At 40.2% G+C, this 21,985-nt stretch overlaps 1 annotated feature.

Annotated features, from left to right (window-relative positions):
- Positions 2,556 to 3,755: an enhancer, noted in NCBI's record as "MED14-independent group 3 enhancer chr13:109863465-109864664 (GRCh37/hg19 assembly coordinates)". NCBI's record gives its function as "activates an origin of replication core promoter dependent on BRD2, BRD4, P300/CBP and CDK7 cofactors, and independent of MED14, by STARR-seq in HCT116 cells {active_cell/tissue: HCT116}" and the evidence as "EXISTENCE:reporter gene assay evidence [ECO:0000049][PMID:35650434]".

Genomic DNA, 21,985 nt, shown 5'->3' on the forward strand with positions numbered 1-21,985 from the left:
TGTTCTGGGGTGAGTCATCATTATCTTTTGGACGTGGCTAACCCTGGAAATGGCAATTCCTCCAAGGTCAGCAGGGCCCCAGATGCCAAAGCATCAGAACACAGCAAATAAAAGCACATGGTCAATATGTAGTTACTGCAATGTTACTGCAGCCACCCAGCAACCACAAGGAAGTGTTCTGCCTGACCTCCAGCCTGACGACAGCCGAGTCCCATTCCCTGCCTATTTCTCTCATGTTTTTCCCTTCTGACTTCCACCCCCGCGAAGAAGCAATGGAAGAAGCCAACTTTCCCTTGATACATGGCTTCTTGGGCCATGCTATGGACATAATAGGCACTTAATGATCTTAGTTGAATTAAAACTTTGAATTGCATTCTCCTCCCCACAATATATTTAGGCCAGGGTGAAAAATAAACTGTTTAAGCATTGCACATTGCAAGAACTTGCTTCAAATGTTCACTGAGCATTGTGCTGACTGTGCGAGGTGCTCAGCCCATGTGATTCCTAAACTGGCTATTTTGGTTAGGGCTGCTGTAACAAATGGCCATCAGCAGGGTGGCTTCAACAACAAGCATGTATTCCCACAGTTCTGAAGCCTAGGAAGTCCAAGATGAAAATTTCCACAGATCCCGTGTCTGGTGAGGGCCTGCTTCCTGGATTGCAGATGGCCATCTTCTCATCGTACCCTCGCATGTTCAGAGAAGAAGGGGAGGAAGCACCCTCTCCGGTGTCTCTTCTTATAAGGGCATGAATTCCATCACGAGGCCTCTGCCCTCATGACCTAATCATATCCCAAAGACCCTGCCTCCAAATTTCATCATACTGGGGATCAGCGTTTCAGCATAGGAATTCTGGGAGGACATAGTTCAGTCCACAGCACTGACATATGCCTACAAGGTAATTTTTATCATTTTTGTATTGATACTGAAATTGAAGCTTATAGCTTTAAGCAGCCCATCAGATATAAACTCTCATCTTTATGATTCCAATGTCCATGCCATTTTAATTTGATATACAGAAATTGCCAACTTACTTTATGAAAAGACACCTGAAATGATGATGCATGACCATTGTAGGGAGACCTTACGTGAAGTAAGGAAGTCACAAGCCACATGTGTGTCCAAACCACACAACTCCCTATTAACCCAAGTTGAAGCACTGGGGCCTGTGTCATCACTAGGTAAACATTACAGTCACCTATTAGGGTACTATGAGCATCATGAACATGAAATATTTAACCTCTCAGTAGTCCCTCTGCCTCATTTAAGGTTTGTTGACCTTCAGACACTAGAAGCCAACCCGCTTGTAGATAGATTGTTTAAACACAATCTTCTAAATCAATGTGGACAGACCCTTTAAACACAATCTCCTTAATCAGTAAGTAAGCCCTTTTGTGTTTAGTTGTTTGGATTCTCCGCTGTGGAAAGAGATTGCAGGTGTGTGTTAATCACTACATTAGGACCATCTGATTGTGCCTGTTCTAATTACATGATATGAAAATCAGCAGAGGCTCAAAAGCATCAATAGCCATGACAGTAGTAACAGTATTAACAGTCACAATAATACGAAGTCCAAGCCTTCGTGTGGATTAAAGTTACTCTCAGAATGGCTCTCTAATGATTATACTTTGTCAAGAAAATAAAGAGGTAATATTCTGGGTAATAAAGTACTGAATATTATTCTACATAAGCAAGATTTCAGCTTTTATGTGTGTTTGCAAAATATTTAATGGTGGTATTTTAATTGCCATCAGACCATAAGGTATGAATTAGGATGTATTATTGAGGCTTCAAACTTATGTTCAGCAATATAATTGGTATGAATTATTACCCTATGTTCAAACACTGCCCACTTCTATTGCTTTTTTAAAAAAATTATTTATGAGAGCTCTCTAAAAACCACTATCCAAATGTTTACAATGAGTTAAAATGATTTAAAATGTATTTCCCAGGATGGAAAAATATATCATCACTATTCTTAAATAGTGGTATCTAATTTAGTTAGAATTATGCTTATATAAATCTGCTCAATAAAAGCAACAACCAATTAAAATCTAAGATTTATGAATGGACTTCACAAATAAACATTACACAACTTGGACAAAAGGTATATTATGAATTCCAGAGTCTGAAAGGATGGATGAACTTTTGTCAAAATTCTATTGCTGTCAGTTTCCAGCCAGACATCAAACTCAACTCGTATCACAATAAAGGGCATGAGGGTATTAAATAATAACGTTCTTCAATAGGACACGTTTCACCCATTGACCGTCACTTGGAACTGCTCATTTTTTCCTAATCATTTAAATGTAGTTTTTGATGAGAAATGAATGGAATTGATTTCTATTTCTCATCAGGAAAGTTTCAATAAAAAAGATTCTTAAATTAGCTGGAGGAAAAAAAAACTCTGTTCCAAGTAAACATTTAGTGTAATTTTATTACATTTTTCAAATTGTTTTTAGCTGCACATAAAAATCCATATAATGAAGACGAAAGCAATTAAATTTCTATTTACTGTGGAATAGTGAGTTCTGTGTGATACTCATGGGATCCCAAAACAGTAGCACTGCTTTCAAAAAACTAAAAATATCATCTCCACCCCCATTTTTCTTCCTTTACATCTTATTCATAAGCAATGACTTCATAAAACAAATTCTACTACCAACGATGTTCTGTGCTGCAAGGCGTCCACGTGAGTTACAAAGATACCCATTAGATAGCAAAAGGTTGTAGCATGCTGAGTTACAGACTGGGAAGAATAATCTTTGTAGTTTTTTTCACTTTACCTAAATACTCCAAACCCCTGCGATGTTCTATTATTGTGGTTTCAGTAAGTTTCTCTAAAATCCAGGATGCTTTATAAACTTTAAAGATGTTATTTTTCAAAGGGTATGTCTTAATAGGTGCCTATAATTCATCTCTATCACCTGTTCTAATTTCTCAGATCATTTTCCAGGCTTTTTGAAATGTGCTTATACTTTAAATATCATTCTTGTGTGCTTCAACATCAGCATAATATAATCTGAATTTTATGTAGTTTACCGGATCATTATAATGGCAGAAGAAAATGTTGATGTCCTCTCATAAGAAAATAATTAAAGGTGAATAAATCTATGCATTCATTTCTATTGTTGTTTTATAATAGGAATGTATCAAATGTGTCTTTTCTTTCCTTTGAATTAGTCATGGGACAGACACCCTGCATATCTGCCAGCTTGCCTTTCCCTGTAGCCCCAGGGAACAAGCGCTGCTTCAAAGGAAGGCCAGCGAGCCTGCTCAGATGACATTTTCCTGATGTCACCATTTGGCTTCTGAAGTCTAAAGAAAATGAAAGAGAATGAAACTATTGATAAATTCCAAGGGAGGGGGGGATCAAAGCTCTAAAGAAAAATGGAATAAAACCAAATTCAATTTGAGTTTTTGATCTTTTAAGATTTCAACAAACAAAAGGGTTGGAGGGCCATGATCTAAAACAATTAATTGAAAAATGTATACATTCTGTCATATTTGAAGAGAGGTTTTCTTTCCGAACTTAATGTTTATGATAAATTGCATTAGACTTTTGTGTGGCAATAAGAAGAGCATAGCCACCCGACCACTCCCTATTATTCTTCATCAATATTATTGTTGAATAAGATAATTACATTTAATATCACAAAGCTAGTGTTTTGGACACTTTTTAATACAAATAGGTCATCTATATACACCTGTTTTGTAGGGGAACTAGTTCTTCAGACAATTATAACTGCATTTTGTGGTTGGAGAACTATTGTCATTCCCTTGGGCTTAGAAACTGTTACATAAAAGGATGACCGTCTATATTTTTAAAAGCAAGAAAATTTTCCCAGCAAAAGAGAAAAAGAGGCCACAAGAAATCCACCGAGTCATGGCCTCGGATGCTCAGGGTGTCAATGGTAAGGAATTAGGAAATCAGAGGTGACACTGTCTCATTACTGACGTGTTTTTATCCCGTACCAAGAACTCTTATTTTTCAGCCTCAGAAGGAAAGGCAAACCCTACAAAGACATAATACTTGCTGCCCACAGTCTTCAGAAGCCAAAAGTTTGCCCACAAAGACTCAATGAGAAAAATTCATTAAAGGTACAAGTCACTCTACCTCCCAGTTTTGCTCCTGACAGTTGGTAGGTGGCACTTGTGGGCAGTTTTCTTATTTGTCTTGACTTCCCACCCCTATCTATGTTTGTTACTCAAGTTGGTTGTTTTAACAACCACAGGCTCTAGTGGTTTCACACAATAAAGCTGTCCTTCTATTTTAGTATTCTCTCTTAAGTCACAGTTGACACAGTCATTCAAAGATCAAGGGTCCGTCCGTCTCATGGCTCAGCCTCCTCTAGGCCTTTGCGGGTGCTCCTTGCTTAGCCAGTAGATGAGGATTAGAGCACAGGGAACAGACCCAGGAGGAATTCATGGCCTGCCTAAAAATGGCTTAACGTGCCTCCACATTCCATGGGCCAGAACTCAGTCATGGAGCTGCACCTGGCAGGAGGGGCCTGGGACATGTAGACCTACTCTTTGACTAGGGGGAAAGGGATGCGACTTGGTTGATGATCCGCCTGTATATACCACACTATGTGAGGCAGGGAAGTCCTAACTATAACTACCTAAAAGCAATTTTATATTTCCTTCTGGGCTCAGAAGGTGCACAGAGCCACTAGCCTTCTGCCAACCATGAGATGCAGAAAATTCCCTACATCAGCAGCCGCCAGCCCACCTTCCCAATGGGCCCTTGTAAGTCTTCCTGTACCCAGTGCTGGAGGGTAACGAGGTAAGGATGAGTGGGAGGAGAGGGGGGATATAGGGAGTCCCTCACTTCCCTGGAAAGCTTCCCCTCTCCAGGCCTGGCAGCAGTTCAAGCAGGGAGCACTGGGAGGGCCTCGTGGAGGAGCAAGCTGACTCTTCTCTGGGAAGATGCAGTGGGCTCTGCAGACTATCTATTGGGTCCTCTCTCACACAAGCCCTAGGCAGACAGACATCTCTCTGTTCCTAGAGCTCCTGAGGCTCTTTCCTGAATTCGTGGACATCAGGAGGAATCTTTGTCCTCCTTCTCTGAAGTCTCTTCAGTCTCTCCCACACACAGTACTCTGTGCCCTTCAAAGCGTGGTCCAGTGGCCAGCAGCAATGGTATTGCCTGGGAAACTCATCATCCCAATCCTAGACCTGCAAAGTTAGAATCTGCAGGTGAGCCATGTGCACATGGACATTTGAGAAACCCTGCTCTGGAGGTCCCCAAGTGGCACCCACCAAGCAGCTCACATGCAGTTGTTGGGAGCACCCTCAAGCAGCGCTTACCCAGCAGAGCAGGCTGAGCCGGAGCAGGAGCAGGAGCACTCAGCCCCGCCTCCAAAGCGAGTCAGCAGTCTTCGTCATGGGCCAGGTACTAGTTCTTGGGATCTCCCCAGTGCAGTAAGCACATTTTCCAGTGCTCCCTGGGGGCTTTGGGGGAGCACCCTCATTAGGCTCAGCACTAAGAGCAAATGCACTCTCCAAACCCCTCCTGAAAGGGCAGGATGGAACTTACAGTTGACCAAATAAATATTTTCATCAATTTTTCCCAGTCCTCTCTCTGACTACTTTTTGTACCTTTAATCCTGCTGAAAGGCCCAAGAGATAGGAGCAGGTTTCCTTCCTCTCCCTTGTAAAGTATGCATCTGACATATGCAGGGCCACCTGTCTGATACTCCCTTGGTATCCCAATCACCATCATTTAGAAATCAGTGGAAATTGAGGCAAAAAGAGTCTCAATCTGATATCCTGTTATAACTATATCCTGGAAAGTATATAAACTATGAAATTTATTTCAAAGTCCCATAATTCTTCACTAATTCACACAGGCCTTACTCTAATAACACAGCTTGAAAAAAAGTTGCTGTCAATGGCAGTGAACATGCCTCTTTAAGGATTTTCTGCTTTTATCACTCTGCAGCTAAAGAAAGCATGACTCAGGTTTGAATCCATCTTCTACACTTTGCTGGCAGAATGTTACTACTAAGATGAAAACTTACTGATGAGAGGATTTCTCTGAGTCCATTCCTAGTGCTAGACAAATAGCTTGGGCAAAAAATGTTGATGACGTTGTGCCCGACAGAGAACTTCCAGAGAAAAGGTTGAGAAATTGTATTAGTCTGTTCAAACACTGCTATAAAGAACTATGTGAGACTGGGTAATTTATTTTTTTAAAAAGAGGTTTAATTGGCTTATGGTTCTGTAGGTCGTATAGGAAACATGGCTGGGGGAGCCTCAGGAAACTTACAATCATGGTGGAAGGTGAAGAGGAAGGGGGGATTTCTCACATGGCCAGAGCAGGAGGAAGAGAGAGGCGGGAGGTGCCACACACTTTTCAACACCCAGATCTCCTGAGAACTTAGTATCGTGAGAACAAGGGGGAAGCCGGCCTCCGTGATCCAGTCAGCTCCCAGCAGGCCTCTCCTCCAATGCTGGGGATTGCAATTTGACATGAGATTTGGGTGGGGGCACAAATTCCAATCATATCAGAAATTAAGAATCGACTACCATGCAATCAAGGGACATGGTCACATTTGATACTCTAGATGCCAGCCAGCACCACTCTAATTAGAGACCAGAGAGCTTTCATTCAGGGCAGTTCCTCCTTTTGTTTCAACTCCTTGTAGTGACTTGGGATTGGGGAGCAAAGGCTGGAAAACCTGTAGACGGGGTTTAGCTTAAACATTGCACCCATTGAGCTGTCCTCATGAATAATTTCAGTTAGTCTGTCTCCTTGTAGATAAGATGCAATCATGTCACCCATGGTGTCACCACTCTCATTGGGTTGTTAGAAATATCAAAATAAAATTAAGTGTGGGAAAACTCTTGGGAATCTACAAAGGGCTAAGCAGAATGAGGTGTTGGCATCCTCCCTGAGAAGGAAGGTGAGGTAATGATAGGAAGATGAGAGGGGCAGGACATAAGCTAAAGGGTCTCAGGACTGGCTTATCCCAGCTAAGCCCCAGCAGGCAGTACAGGGCAGTCTCAGGCTCCCTGCACCCTCCTCCTGCTCACAGGGGCAGTTTGTGATCTCTGAGAGACATGAGACCTTCTTTCTTTCCATATCAAAGAATGAGAAATTAGATTTCTGACTCACTGCCTTCCTTTTAGGGGAGAAGAGGGCTCTACGATGCGGTTGGGCTTAGAGGAAAATAGCAGCTCCTCTGCTGTGATTCTAGGTCTCCTCCCTCCCAGAGTCTCAGGATGTGCCTCCAGAGTAGCCACCATGGAAATGACATGTGTTCTTCTGCTTAGCTAAGCATGTGTATGTGATTCTATTTAATTAATTATTGATATTTATTAAAATACAACGTGTAGATTTCTATTTTCATTTTGCTGCCAATACACTGAAAAAAGACATAGTTAAGTTCCAATGACAGAAACATATGTCAATATACAAATCAACTATTTGTTGAGTTGAGTATTACATGAAGACCTACCGTGTTGCAGTGTGTGGCAGAGAAACCATACTTTCCTGAATATCATCACAAACCTGTGAATCGGATAGATTGCTCCTCTAGGCAGATGCAGTATCTGATGAAGTCAAAGGTTCTTGCCACTCTTCACCTTAGTTTTCTGGCTAAAAAGAGCCTGGAAACGTTTCTACAGAGGACCAATGTCAGCCATGGGATCTCAAAGATGAAAACAATTTCCTAAAGACACAGGTTCTTTTCTATGCAATTATTACTGCTGACGCCAGTGTTGCCCCGGCAAGAAAGATGATAATATTGGTGAATATGATAGCTAAAATTTACTCAGTGCTTACCATGTGCGAAGAATTTTGCTAGGAGCTCCTCACATATTTACATGGTCTGCATTTAACTCATTCAATCTTAAAGGAAATGTATGAAATATGTTCTATTATTGTGGCTGTAAGTGATGGCTTGAGAATATGTCTGCAAGTCTCTTAACAGTTAATACTTTTTTTTTTTTGGAGATAGTCTCTCTCTGTCACCCAGGCTGGAGTGCAATGGGGTGATCTCAGTTAACTGCAGCCTCTGCCTCCCAGGTTCAAGGGATTCTCCTGCCTCAGCCTCCCGAGTAGCTGGGACTACAGGCGGCACCACCATGCCTGGGTAATTTTTTTATTTTTAGTAGAGATGAGTGTATTACTCAGGGTTCTCTAGAGGGACAGAACTAATTGAATACTTATATATTCAATTATATATATATACTATATATATATATACAAAGGGCAAACTAATTGAATAAAGGGCAAACTAATTGAATACATATACTCAATTATATATATATATAAAGGGCAGTTTATCAAGTATTAACTTAATGTACATAATATATATTATATATATTATATTTTATATATTATATATTTATATATATTTTCATATATATAATTATATATTTTATATTTTTATATAATAAATAAATATAATATATATTTATTTATTTATTATATATAATATATATTATATTTATATATTATATATAATATATATTATATTTATATATTATATATAATATATATTATATTTATATATTACATATAATATATAATATATAACAGATATATAATATATAATAGATATATAGTATATATAATATATAATAGATATATAGTATATATAATATGTAATATAACAGATATAATATATATATTATATATAATTATATATAATAATGATACATATAATAAAATATATATTATATATAATTATATATAATGATATATAAAATATATATTATATATAATTATATATAATAATGATATATAATAATATATATTATATATAATTATATAATATATATTATATATAATTATATATAATAATATATATTATATAATTATATATAATGATGATATATAATAAAATATATATTATATACATAATATATATCTATTATAAATATATAATATATATTATATATAATTACATATATATTTTTTCATATATATATATATATATATATATTAAGCTGGGTGGGCAAAATCTAATCAGCTGCCAGTGCAGCTAGAATATAAGCAGGCAGAAAAATATGAAAAAAGAGACTGACTTAGCCTCTCACCTTACATCTTTCTACCTCGCTGGAAGCTTCCTGCCCTCAAATATTGGACTCCAAGTTCTTCAGTTTTGGAACTCAGACTGGCTCTCCTTGCTCCTCAGCCTGCAGATGGACTATTGTGGGACCTTGTGATCGTGTAGGTTAATACTTAATAAACTGCCCTTTATGTGTATATATATATTATATATATTAAGTTATACATGTATTATGTATTATATATATTTAGATATATTATATATATAATATATAATATGTAATATATATAATATGTATTATATGTAATATATAATATGTAATATATATAATATGTAATATATAATATATATAATATGTAATATATAATATATAATTATATATAATATATAATTATAATTATATATTATATATAATTATAATTATATATTATATAATTACATATATAATATATAATTATATATTATATATTTATTAATTATTAATTATATTTTTATATATATTAATATATAGTATATAATCTTATATATATTTATGATAGATATATTATATATTATAATATATTACTATATATTATATATTATAATATATTACTATATATTATATATAATTATATATTATATATTATTATATATATAATTATGTATTATTTATATCATAATATATATTTTTATATATAATAATATATAATTATATATATTGCATAATATAATATATATTATATTATAGAATATATATAATTTTAAATAATATAAAAATATTAAATATATAATTATATATAATTATATATTATATGTACTATATATTATACATTATATATGATATATAATATATCATATATCATATATATGATATATAATATATATTATATTATATACGATATATGATATATCATATATAATATGTATATTATATATATTATATAATATATATTATATTATATATTATATATTATATATGTATATTATATATATTATATATGATATATTATATATAATATGTATAATATATAATATATAATATATATTAATTATACATAGTTATATATTTAATTATATATAATTAAATATTTATATATATTTAATTATATATTTAATATTTTTATATTATATATAATTATAGATATTCTATAATATAATATATATATTATGTAATATATAATTATATATAATATATATAAAAATATATATTATATATATTATATATAATATATACTATTATAACATATATATTATATATAATATATATTAATTAATATAATATATACTAATAACATAATAATTAACATATATATTATATATCTATGAATATATAATATATATTATATATGTAACTTTATATATATATTGTATATATATAATATACATAAAGGGCAGTTTATTAAGTATTAACCTACACAATCACAAGGTCCCACAATAGTCTGTCTGCAGGCTGAGGAGCAAGGAGAGCCAGTCTGAGTTCCAAAACTGAAGAACTTGGAGTCCAATGTTCGAGGGCAGGAAGCTTCCAGCGAGGTAGAAAGATGTAAGCTGGGAGGCTAAGTTAGTCTCTCTTTTCATATTTTTCTGCCTGCTTATATTCTAGCTGCACTGGCAGCTGATTAGATTTTGCCCACCCACCTTAAGGGTGGGTCTGCCTTTCCCAGCCTACTGACTCAAATGTTAATCTCCTTTGGCAACACCCTTACAGACACACCCAGGATCAATTCTTTGCATCCTTCAATCCAATCAAATTGACACTGAGTATTAAAAGTCCACTCCTTGTCAACTTGAACCCATACACATCTCCTGAGATCATACATAATCTTCAAATAAAGCCAGTAATAAGGTAATAATTATGCCTAACATAATACAAGTATCCTTCTTACAACCAGAAACACACCAATCCCCAACCCAAATACTACCACATAAAGTTAACAATACTTAAATGCTGATGTGAAGTCAATAAATCTTATGTCACATGATAAAGGAGAAAGGAAATAAATTGAAGATATTTTCTTAGTAAAAGTGTATACATGCACAAACATGTTTTTAACAAAAGAAGGAGGAAATACTCATGACAATTACAGTCCTTGTTTCTGCAGCTGGTCATGTGGTGGTAGCTGGTATTGATGACTACCGTCTTCTACTACCCATTCTGTATTCCCCTTGCCTCCAGCAAGCCCCTCAGCAGGTCACGTTTTTTATTTTTTCGTGGTGGAGTGACCCCAAACCTTTATTCCTGAAGGGTCTGGGTCATTTGTAGTCCCTCTTAGATTGGGCTGTTGTAGTTTCCTAGTGACCTTAATCACAGGTCATGGTAATACTAAGAGACACCCTAATGGAGCTCCTGTACTCCATGGATACTCTTCATTACCTCCATTGTGGAGTAGCAGACTGATTTCACCTTGATAGTCCGGGTCAGTCACCCCAGTCAACACCGTAACTCCCTTCTTAGTTGACTTAAAAGTAGTAGAAGCCCGAAGAGTCCACATGGCAATTTTAACTTCTAGTTTAATGGAACCATTGCTGTGACTCCTGGTGGCAGCATTCCTCCCTCTGGAACTAAGACCTCTAGACCAGCAGAACATAGTGTTGTGGGAACAAGAAGCAAAAATTTTGCTAGTGGATCACTATGGGTGATGGTGACTGGTGCCACTTCCACTTCCATCCCTTGATTTCTGGACCCATGAATCTTAGCTTTGGGAGAAACAGTACCATACATTGGACACCGACTGAGAGAACACATGGCCTTCTGAAGAACTCTGCCCCAGGCTTGCAAAGTATTGTCACTTAGTTGGCCTTGGAATTGTGACTTCAAAAGGCCATTCCATCATTCTATCAATCCACTGCTTCAGGCTGATGGGGAACATGGTGAGACCAGTGAATTCCATGAGCACGAGCCCACTGATGCACTGCTTTAGACATCAAGTGAGTGCCTTAGTCAGAGGCAATGCTGTGGGTAATACCATGATGGTGGATAAGGCATTCTGTGAGTCCAAAGATGGTAGTCTTGGCAGACGCATTGCATGCAGGATACGCAAACCCATATCCAGATTAAGTGTCTATTCCAGTGAGGACAAACTTCTGTCCTTTCCATGATGGAAGTGGTCCAATATAATCAGCCAGCTACCAGGTAGCTGGCTGATCACCCTGAAGAATGGTGCCATATCGAGGGTTCAGTATTGTTCTCTGCTACTGGCAAATTGGACACTCAGCAGTGGCCACAGCCACGTCAGCCTTGGTGAGTGGAAGCCCATATTTCTGAGCCCATGCATAACCTCCATCCTTGCCACCATAGCCACTTTGTTCATGGGCCCATTGGGCGATCATAGGGGTAGCTGGGGAAAGAGGCTGAGTGGTGTCCATAGAATGGGTCATCCTATCCACTTGATTATTAAAATCCTCCTCAGCTGAGATCACCCATTGGCAAGCACTCACATGGGATACAAATATCTTCAGTTTTTGACCACTCAGAGAGGTCCATCCACATACTTCTTCCCCAAATTTCTTTTTCCAGTCATGCTTATTCCAAGTCCCTGACCATCCAGCCAAACCACTGGCTGCAGCCCATGAATCAGTATATCATTGCACATCTGGCCATTTCTCCTGCCATGCAAGGTACACAACAGGGTGCACTCCTGGAAGTTCTGCCCACTGGAAAGATTTCCCTTCACCTCTGTCCTTCAGGCATGTCCTAGAAAGGGGCTGTAGTGCTGCAGCCCTCCACTTTTGGGTGGTGCCTGCATATTGTGCAGAACCATCTGTGAACCAGGTCCAAGTCTTCTCCTCCTCTGTCAACTGATCATAGGGAACTCCTCAAGAGGCCATTGGTACAGGCTGGGGGAGAGAAGGCAGGGTGGCACAAGTGGAGACCATGGGCATTTGAGCCACTTCTTCATACAACTTACTTGTGCCTTCAGGACCTGCTTGAGCCTCATCACATATACATCACTTCCATTTGATGATGGGAAGCTGCTGTGCATGACCCACTTTATGGCTAGATGGGTCAGAAAGCACCCAGTTCATGATAAGCTGTTCAGGTCACATGGTGACTTGATGACCCATAGTCAAACATTCAGTTTCCACTAAAGCCCAGTAATAGGTCAAGAGCTGTCTCTCCAAAGGAGAGTCGTTATCTGCAGAAGATGGCAGGGCCTTGCCCCAAAATCCTAGAGGCCTCCGCTGTGATTCACCTATGGGGGCCTGCCAAAGGCTCCAAACAGCATCCCTATCTGCCACTGATACCTCAAGCATCTTTGGATCTGCTGGGTTATATGGCCCAAGTGGCAGAGCAGATTGCACAGCAGCCTGGACCCGTTGCAGAACCTTCTCCTGTTCTGGACCCCACTCAAAACTGACAGTCTTTTGGGTCACTTGATAAATGGGCCAGAGAAACACACCTAAATGAGGACTGTGTTGCCTCCAAAATCCAAATCAGCCCAATAGGCATCGTACCTCTTTCTTGGTTGTAGCAGGGGCCAAATGCAGCAACTTATTCTTCACCTTAGAAGGACTATCTCGACAGGCTCCACACCACTGGACCTCTAGAAATTTTACTGAAGTAGAAGTTCCCCAAATTTTAGTTGGATTTATTTCACATCCTCTGGCATGCGAATGTCTCACCAATAAGTCCAGTGTGTTTGCTACCTCTTGCTTACTGAATCCAATCAGCATAATGTCATCAATGTAATGGACCAGTGTGATATCTTGCAGAAGTGAAAAGTGATCAAGATCCTCTGAATAAGATTATGACACAAATCTGGAAAGTTGATATACCTTTAAGGTAGGACAGTAAAGGTATATTGCTGGCTTTGCCAGCTGAAGGCAAATTGCTTCTGCTGGGCCTTATGGACAGGAATGAAGAAAAAGGCATTTGCTAGGTCAATGGCTGCATAACAGTACCAGGAGATGTGTTAATTTGGTCAAGCAATGAAACCACATCTGGTACAGCAGCTGCAATTGGAGTCACCACTTGGTTAAGCTTACAATAATCCACTGTCATTCTCCAAGATCTGTCTGTCTTCTGCCCAGGCCAAATGGGAGAGTTGAATGGGATATGGTGGGAATCACCACCCCTGCATCTTTCAAATCATTTATGGTGGCACTAATCTCCACAATCCCACCGGGGATGTGATATTGTTTTTTATTTACTATTTTTTCTAGGTAGAGGCAGCTCTAATGGCTTCCATTTGGCCTTTCCTACCATAGTAGCCCTCACCCTACCAGTCAGGGAGCCAAGGTGGGGGTTCTGCCAGCTGCTAATTATGTCTATGCCAGTTATACTTTCTGGCACTGGGCAAATGACCATAGGATGAATCTGGGGGCCCACTGGACCCACTTAAGTCAGACCTGAGCTAAAACTCCATTAATAACTTGACCTCCATAAGTCCCTACTTTAACTGGAGGACCATAATGATGTTTTGGGTCACCTGGAATCACCATCAGCTCAGAGCCAGTGTCCAGCAGTCCCCAAAAGGTCTGATCATTTCCCTTTCCCTAATCCACAGTTACCCTGTCCTTAAAAGGCCAGAGGTTTCCTTGGGGAAGGATGGGAGAAACATTCACTGCATAAATTGTCAGAAACGTAGTGGGGTCTTTCCTCAAGGGGACCCAGCTTCCCCTTCATTCAAGGGGTTCTTGGTCTGTAAACTGGCTCAAGTCTGGAAATTGATTGAGGGGCTGTGATTTTCTGTCTTTATAATTCAAATTAATCTTTTGTCCTTTCGACCTAGAAGGTTTCTGCTTATATAAATTAAATAGGAATGCAGTAGGCTTCTTATAAATTTCACTTCTAGGAACACCGTGATTGATTAGCCAATGCCAGAGCTCTACATGGATCAGACTATTCTGATTGCTGCTTTGCTTCTGCTGTCTCTTATGGTAGCTATGCCCACCTTACCTTTGATGGTTAAGTGCCGCTACTTGGCCCCTGCCCCTCGGGATCCAATTATTCCCATTGTATTTAAATTTTGTAGTTGAGTGACTGTAGTTCCCACTGTTAGATCTAACATACAGAAAAGAGCAATTACAGGGCTTTTCAAAGATGTAGGTGCTGCCCTCACAAATCTATTTCAGAAGACATTGGTCAAGAGTATATCTTCTGGACCCTCTCAGCTGGTGTGAGTAGATCTAAAGTGACTAATCCAATCCACCATCCCAATGCCCCTAAGCCTTTGGACCCCTTCCTCAACATTAAACCAAGGGAGATCAGACATTTCCATCTCACTCACAGTGGGCCATATTATAATGCATATTTCAGCTAACCAAGCAAATAAACTATTAGAACCTTTTCTAACTCCCCAAGCTGCAGCATTAAATGTAGAGTTCCTACATAGTGGGCACAAATCAATAAATTCAGCCTCATCCAACTCTGTTTTTTCCACCACTATCCCACACCCTTAATATCCACTCCCATACCTGTTCTCCAGATTTCTGTTTATATAAATTAGAAAACTCAAGCAGTTCTTTTTGAGTATAGCACACCTCCCTCATGGGTCACACTCTCAACCTCACCTCTTGGAGCCCACTGGGACTTTAGACTAGTTATAGGTCTAGAAGCAAAAAGGGTATTGGGGGTGGCTCCTGAGGAGATTCATTATCTTGCCTGACAGCTGCCTCAGGGGAGGCCATCACTGTTGCCTCAGGCAGCGCAGGGTTTATCTCCTCAGACAAAGGTGGAGAAGCTGATGGCAGCATGAGTCGGGTGAGGGGGGAATGTTGCCACTACTGACGATAGGGAAGCTGTTTCTTCTGGCAAAAAGGGTTCATCAGAGTTTACAAACTCAGTGTCCCCAGCTTCATCATGGTCCTCCCATACATTCCCATTCCAAGTTGCAGCGTCCCATTCTTTTCCAATCAATGCCCTCATTTTATCAGTAGACACCTGGCAAGGCTGTGCATGCACCTTTTGTTGCAGGTCAGCCACTCACATGATAAGAGTTTATGTCTGTTTTTCCACAATTTCAGCTCTTTCTCTGCAAGAGATAAGACTCTCACTCAGGGCAGTCTTAACAGAGTTGAAGCTCAGTATCTGCTTCTGAAGCCAGGAGACAGAATCACTGAATTCATAATTTTCTTTAATCACTTTGTCCATTGAACTTAGGAGCAACCAACCAGCTTCATTATATTCCTTGGTTCTCCATATATGGTCAAAGGTATTATGTATAGAGTCACTAAACTCATTGCCCCTTATGAGCAATGAATCGGAAGTGTAAAATGCATTTATTTTGCATAACTCTCTGAGCAATTCATGCCAAGGACTATCAGTGTTCTCCATACTATTAGAAGTAGAGTCCCTAGCATTTTTGGGTCTAATCATATTAAGAAGCCAACTCCAGAAAACCCAAAACCAACAAAAGAACCCCATCCTTAATATTCTCTTCCTCTAGAACAACTCCTGGTACCAAAATCTGTATTAGTCAGGGTTCTCTAGAGGGACAGAACTAATATATATATATATATATATATATATATATATATATATATATATATATATGTATAGGGGAGATTTTAAAGTATTAACTCACATGATCACAAGGCCCCATAATAAGCTGTCTGCAGGCTGAGGAGCAAAGAGAACCAGTCCAAGTTCCAAAACTGAAGAACTTGGAGTCCAATGTTTGAGGTCCAGAAGCATTCAGAACTGGAGAAAGATGTAGGCTGGGAGGCTAAGTCAGTCTCTCTTTTCATGTTTTTCTGCCTGCCTATATTCTAGCTGCATTGGCAGCTGATTAGATTGTGCCCATTCAGCTTAAGGGTAGGTCTGCCTTTCCCAGCTTACTGACCAAATGTTAATCCCCTTTGGCAACATCCTTACAGACACACCCAGTATCAATGCTTTGTATCCTTCATTCCAATCAAGTTGACACTCAGTATTAACCATCACACAGAGTTTCTCCATGTTGGCTAGGCTGGTCTCAAAATCCTGACCTCAGGTGACATGCCCTCCTTAGCCTCCCAAAATGCAGGATTACAGGTGTGAACCACCACACCTGGCCTTAACATACTTTCTGTTGAGAGATGGAGTACAGTCTGCTTCTTTTGAATATAGCCTTATCTTAGTGACTTGCTAATAACATATTGATGCTGCCTGACTTCTGAGGTTGGGTCATAAAAGGTGACACTGCTTCCATTCGGCCCTCTTGAGATGCTCATCTCTGGAATCCAGATACTATGGTGGAAAGAACTCCTAGCCACATGGAGAGGATACATGGAGGTGCTTCTGTCAACAGTCCCCACTGAAGTCCTAGTTAATATCCTACATCAACTGCCAGCCAGGCATGTGAGGAAGCTTTGCTGTGACACCAGCCTTGGTCACCATCTGAATGCAACTGCATAAGAGGCCATGAACACAAACTGTCTAGCTGAGGCCAGCCTCCCCTAGAACTCAGAGGGCGGGGGGGTGATGGTAATAAATGACCATTGCTTTACACCAGTGTTTTAGGGTTCCCCAGAGGAGTGGAACCAATAGAATACTAGTAATGTAAAATTCCTGCTTAAGTAAGATTATCGCTGAACAGTTATAATTTGACAGCATGAAAGCATTCCAGGCAGTCACTCAGAGGGGTCCAGCCTAATGGAGTGCAGGCCCCTTCGACACATGGCCCCCATACAGAACTCAGGCTCCTTGGGCACACAGCCCCCATACAGAGATCAGGCTCCTTGGGCACAAGGCCCCCATGCCAGCATGACTTTCACTTCCCAGTCAGAGGAATGTGAGGAGCCCTGGGAAGCACATATGGGAGGTTTTTATGGGCCAGACCTGCAAACAGTGGGCAGTAAGTTTGTCATTTCATTGGTGACAGCTAAGTCCCGGGACCACGAATAACAGGAAGGGAGACTGAGAAAAATGGGTCAGACAAGACAGCCCAGGAAAAAAGAAAATGGCATTGGCTAAAGGGAGCCATTCTCTGTCACAACATTAGGAAACAAATGGAATTCTACCCCTATCATGATTGTAGGCTGAGACGGGAGAGTTTGGCAGCATTGTTTTGTGGAGGTCTAGACCTGGCAGCTGGTGAAAAATCAGTCTTGAACCAGGAGAATACAGAAAGAGGAAAATACCTCAAATGAATGATTTCCCTTTGGAAAATGATGTTGAAGTATTGAGAGGTACTGAGTGAAACTATCTAAAGGTTGTTGAAAATATGGATCTTGTATTCTAGAAAGAGGTCCAAGCTGTAGATAGAGACATTCAGCCAAGGATAACTCAACCTTCCTTGGCAGCAGTACCAGAGTTTTAACAACTCTGCTGGATATCATTAAGCAGTGGCAGCGAAATCACCAGAATAAAGCCAAACCTCTTATTTCTCATAACTTGCTGTGGTCAGCAGATAGGCATCCCTACATCTAAACTTTTGAAGTTGCTCACATGCATTTTGAAAACCAGGAGCCACAGATAATTAGAAGACTTTGGGAACTTCTGCAAGCACTTTTTTTCTAGAAAATGATTTAGTGAAATATTCAGGGAAAAAAATACTTTTACCAATTATGTTATCTAAAAATAATTGTTCTGTTCAAAAGACCAGTATGATGCCCCTTCTTCCAGATGTTAAGTAGATGATGAAGTGAGATGTACTGGTTATCTATTGCTGTGTAACAACTTATTCCAACACTTAACTGCTTGAAGAAGCAGGTAGTATCTCATACTTTCTATGGGTCAAGATTGTGGGAGTGGCTTTGCTAGGGTCTCTGGTTCCAGATCTCTCCCAAGGTTGCAAGCAAGATGTCATTCAGGAAACTTACAATCATGGCAGAAGGAGAAGGAGAAGCAGTCATTTCAAGGTCAGGCTTGGGGAGATCTACTTCCAGGCTCACTCATGCAGCTGCTGGCAGGATTGCATTCCTTTTGGGTTGTTGGATTTTGGGGGCCTCAATTCCTTGTTGGCTGCTGGCTGGAAGCACCCTCAGTTCTCTCCACACGGGCTTCTCCACAGGGCAGCTTGCAACATGGCCACTGGCTTCCCTCTAAGGGAGCGAGTGAGAAGCACCACAGAGCAGGATAGTGAAGGGCATTCTATTAATACTGCCATGTTATATTTGTCAGAAACAAGTAACCAGTTCCACCCCACATTCAAGGAGAGGAGACACAGGTCCTGGATGAAGAGGTAGTAATTATTGGGAACCATCTGAGGCCCTAGTGGGGTCGTGGTAAAGCAACCGCTATAAATAGAAAGTCCTTGCAGCAGCTAACTCCAATTCCCACACCCTGGAGTGACTTCTGTTTCAGTGAGCTCATAAATCCATTGAAGTTTTCTCAGTTGAATGTCAGAGAGGATGCAGAAATTCCATTTCTGTTTCTGTCTACTGACGGTGCTTGCCAGTGCAGAGATGGTGTATTAGTCTGTTCTCACACTGCTATAAAGACATACCTAAGACTGGGTAATTTATAAAGAAGAGAGGTTTAATCAGTTCATTGTTCTGCAGACTGTACAGGCTTCTGCCTCTGGGGAGGCCTTAGGAAACTTACAATCATAGCAGAAGGATAAGGAGAAGCAGGCACTGTCTTCACACGGCCAGCAGGAGTAGGTGAGGAGGTGCCACACACTTTCAAACAACCAGATCTCATGAGAACTCTATCATTGGACAGCACTATGGGGATGGTGCTAAGTCATTAGAGACCACCCCCATGATCCAGTCACCTCCCACCAGGCCTCACCTCCAACATGGGGAATTACAATTCAACATGCGATTTGGGTGGGGACAGAGCCAAACCATATCATTCTGCCCCTGGCCCCTCCCAAATCTCATGTCTATTGCACATTTCAAAACACAATTATGCCTTTCCAACAGTCCCTCAAAGTCTTAACTCATTCCAGCATTAACTCAAAAGTCCAAGTCCAAAGTCTCATCTGAGAAAGTCAATTCCCTTTGGCCTATGAGCCTGTAAAATCGAAAGTTAGTTACTTCCAGGATACTATAGGGGTATAGGCATTGAGTAAATGCATTCATTCCAAGTGGGAGAAATCAGCTGAAACAAAGGGGTTACAGGCCCCATGCAAATCTGAAACCCAGCAGGGCAGTCATTAAATTTTAAAGCTTCGAAAGAATATCCTTTGACCCCATGTATCACATCCAGGCTACAGTGATGGAAGGGGTGAGCTTCCAAGGCCTTGGGAAGCTCCACCCATGTTGCTTTTCAGGGAACAGCCCCCACTGCTGCTTTCATGGGCTGGGATTGAGTGCCTGTGGCTTTGGCACATGGTGTAAGCTGTTGGTAGAACTACCATTGTGGGGTTTGGAGGACGGTGGCCCTGTTCTCACAGCTCCACTAGACAGTTCCCCAGTGAGGTAGGTCTCTACTTGGGGACTCTTAACACCACATTTCCCCTCCACCCTACTCTAGTAGAGGTAATCTGTGAGGTTTCTGCCCCTGCACCAGACTTCTGCCTGTACATCCAGGTGTTTCTATACTTCCGCTGAAATCTAAGCGGAGGCTACTAAGCCTCAATTCTTGCCCTCTGCACATCCACAGGCTTAACACCACATGGAAGCCACCAAGGCTTGGGGCTTGCACCTTCTGAAACAACATCCTGAGCTGTTCTTTGGCCCCTTTTAGCCGTGGCTGGAGCTGGAGCTGGAGTGGCCCTGATGCAGGGTGCCTTTTCTGGAGGTTGTGCAGGGCAGTGGGGCCCTGGGTAAGGCCCATGAAAACATTCTTTTCTCCTAGGCCCCTGGGTCTGTGAAGGGAGGGGCTACCACGAAGAGCTCTGACATGCCTTGGGGGCATTTTCCTCATTGTCTTGGCTATTAATATTTGGCTCCTCTTTACTTACGCAAATTTCTGCAGCCAGCTTGAATCCCTCCCCAGAAAATAGGTTTTTCTTTTCTACCACATCACTAGGCTGCAAATTTTCCAAACTTTTATGCTCTGCTTTCTTTTTCAATAAAGTTCCAGTTTTAGATCATCTCTTTGTTTGTGCAGATGAGCGTTGGCTTTTAAAAGCAGCCAGGGTACATCTTGAATGCTTTGTTGCTTAGAAATTTCTTCCACCAAATACCCTAAATCATCTCTGTCAAGTGCAAATTTCCACAGGTCCCTAGAGTGGGGCAGAATGCTGCCAGTCTCTTTGCTAAAGCATAGCAAGAGTGACCTTTGCTCAAGCTCCCAATACATTCCTCATCTCCAGCTGAGACTGCCTCAGCCTGGACTTCATTATCCATATCACTATCAGCATTTTGGTCACAACAATTTAACAAGTCTCTACAAAGTTCCAAACTTTCCTTCATCTTCCTTTCATGTTCTGAGCCCTCCAAACTGTTCCAACCTCTGTCTGTTACCCAGTTCCAAAGTTGCTTCTACATTTTCAGGTATTTTATAGCAATGCTCCACCTCTCTGGTACCAACTTTATGTATTCGTCCATTCTTGCACTGCTATAAAGACACACCCGAGACTGGGTAATCTATAAAGAAGAGGGGTTTAATCAGCTCATGGTTCTGCGGGCTGTACAGGCTTCTGCTTCTGGGAAGGCTTCAGGAAACTTACAATTGTCGTGGAAGGCGAAGGGAAAGCAAGTACATCTTCACATGGCCAGCAGGAGAGTGGGGGTTGGGGGAGGTGCCACACACTTTGAAACAACCAGATCTCATGAAAACTGTATCATGAGAGAGCACTAGGGGAATGGTGCTAAATCATTTGAAACCACCCCCATGATCCAACCACCTTCCACCAGGCCCTGTCTCCACCATCGAGAATTACAATTCAACATGAAATTTGGTGAGGACACGGAGCCAAACCATATCAGATGGGATACTCTTGAATTGAGTGGAGTGAAGGAATGGAGACTCAAACTGAGGTAACTAGATGGCCAAATTAGAAAAGCTAGCAAGGTTTCAGGGAGAAAATAAAACAGAAGCAGCAACATGCAACAGAGGGTAGTATATTTTGGGCAAGCACAAATGAGTCCTGAGCATCAGATGGTTTCCAGGTGTGGCCTATTGACTCCTGTGTCCTGAAGGAAGATATGGTAAGTGATGGAGACTTGGAT

This window comes from Homo sapiens, chromosome 13, assembly GCF_000001405.40.
Source record: "Homo sapiens chromosome 13, GRCh38.p14 Primary Assembly".
Taxonomy (NCBI): domain Eukaryota; kingdom Metazoa; phylum Chordata; class Mammalia; order Primates; family Hominidae; genus Homo; species Homo sapiens.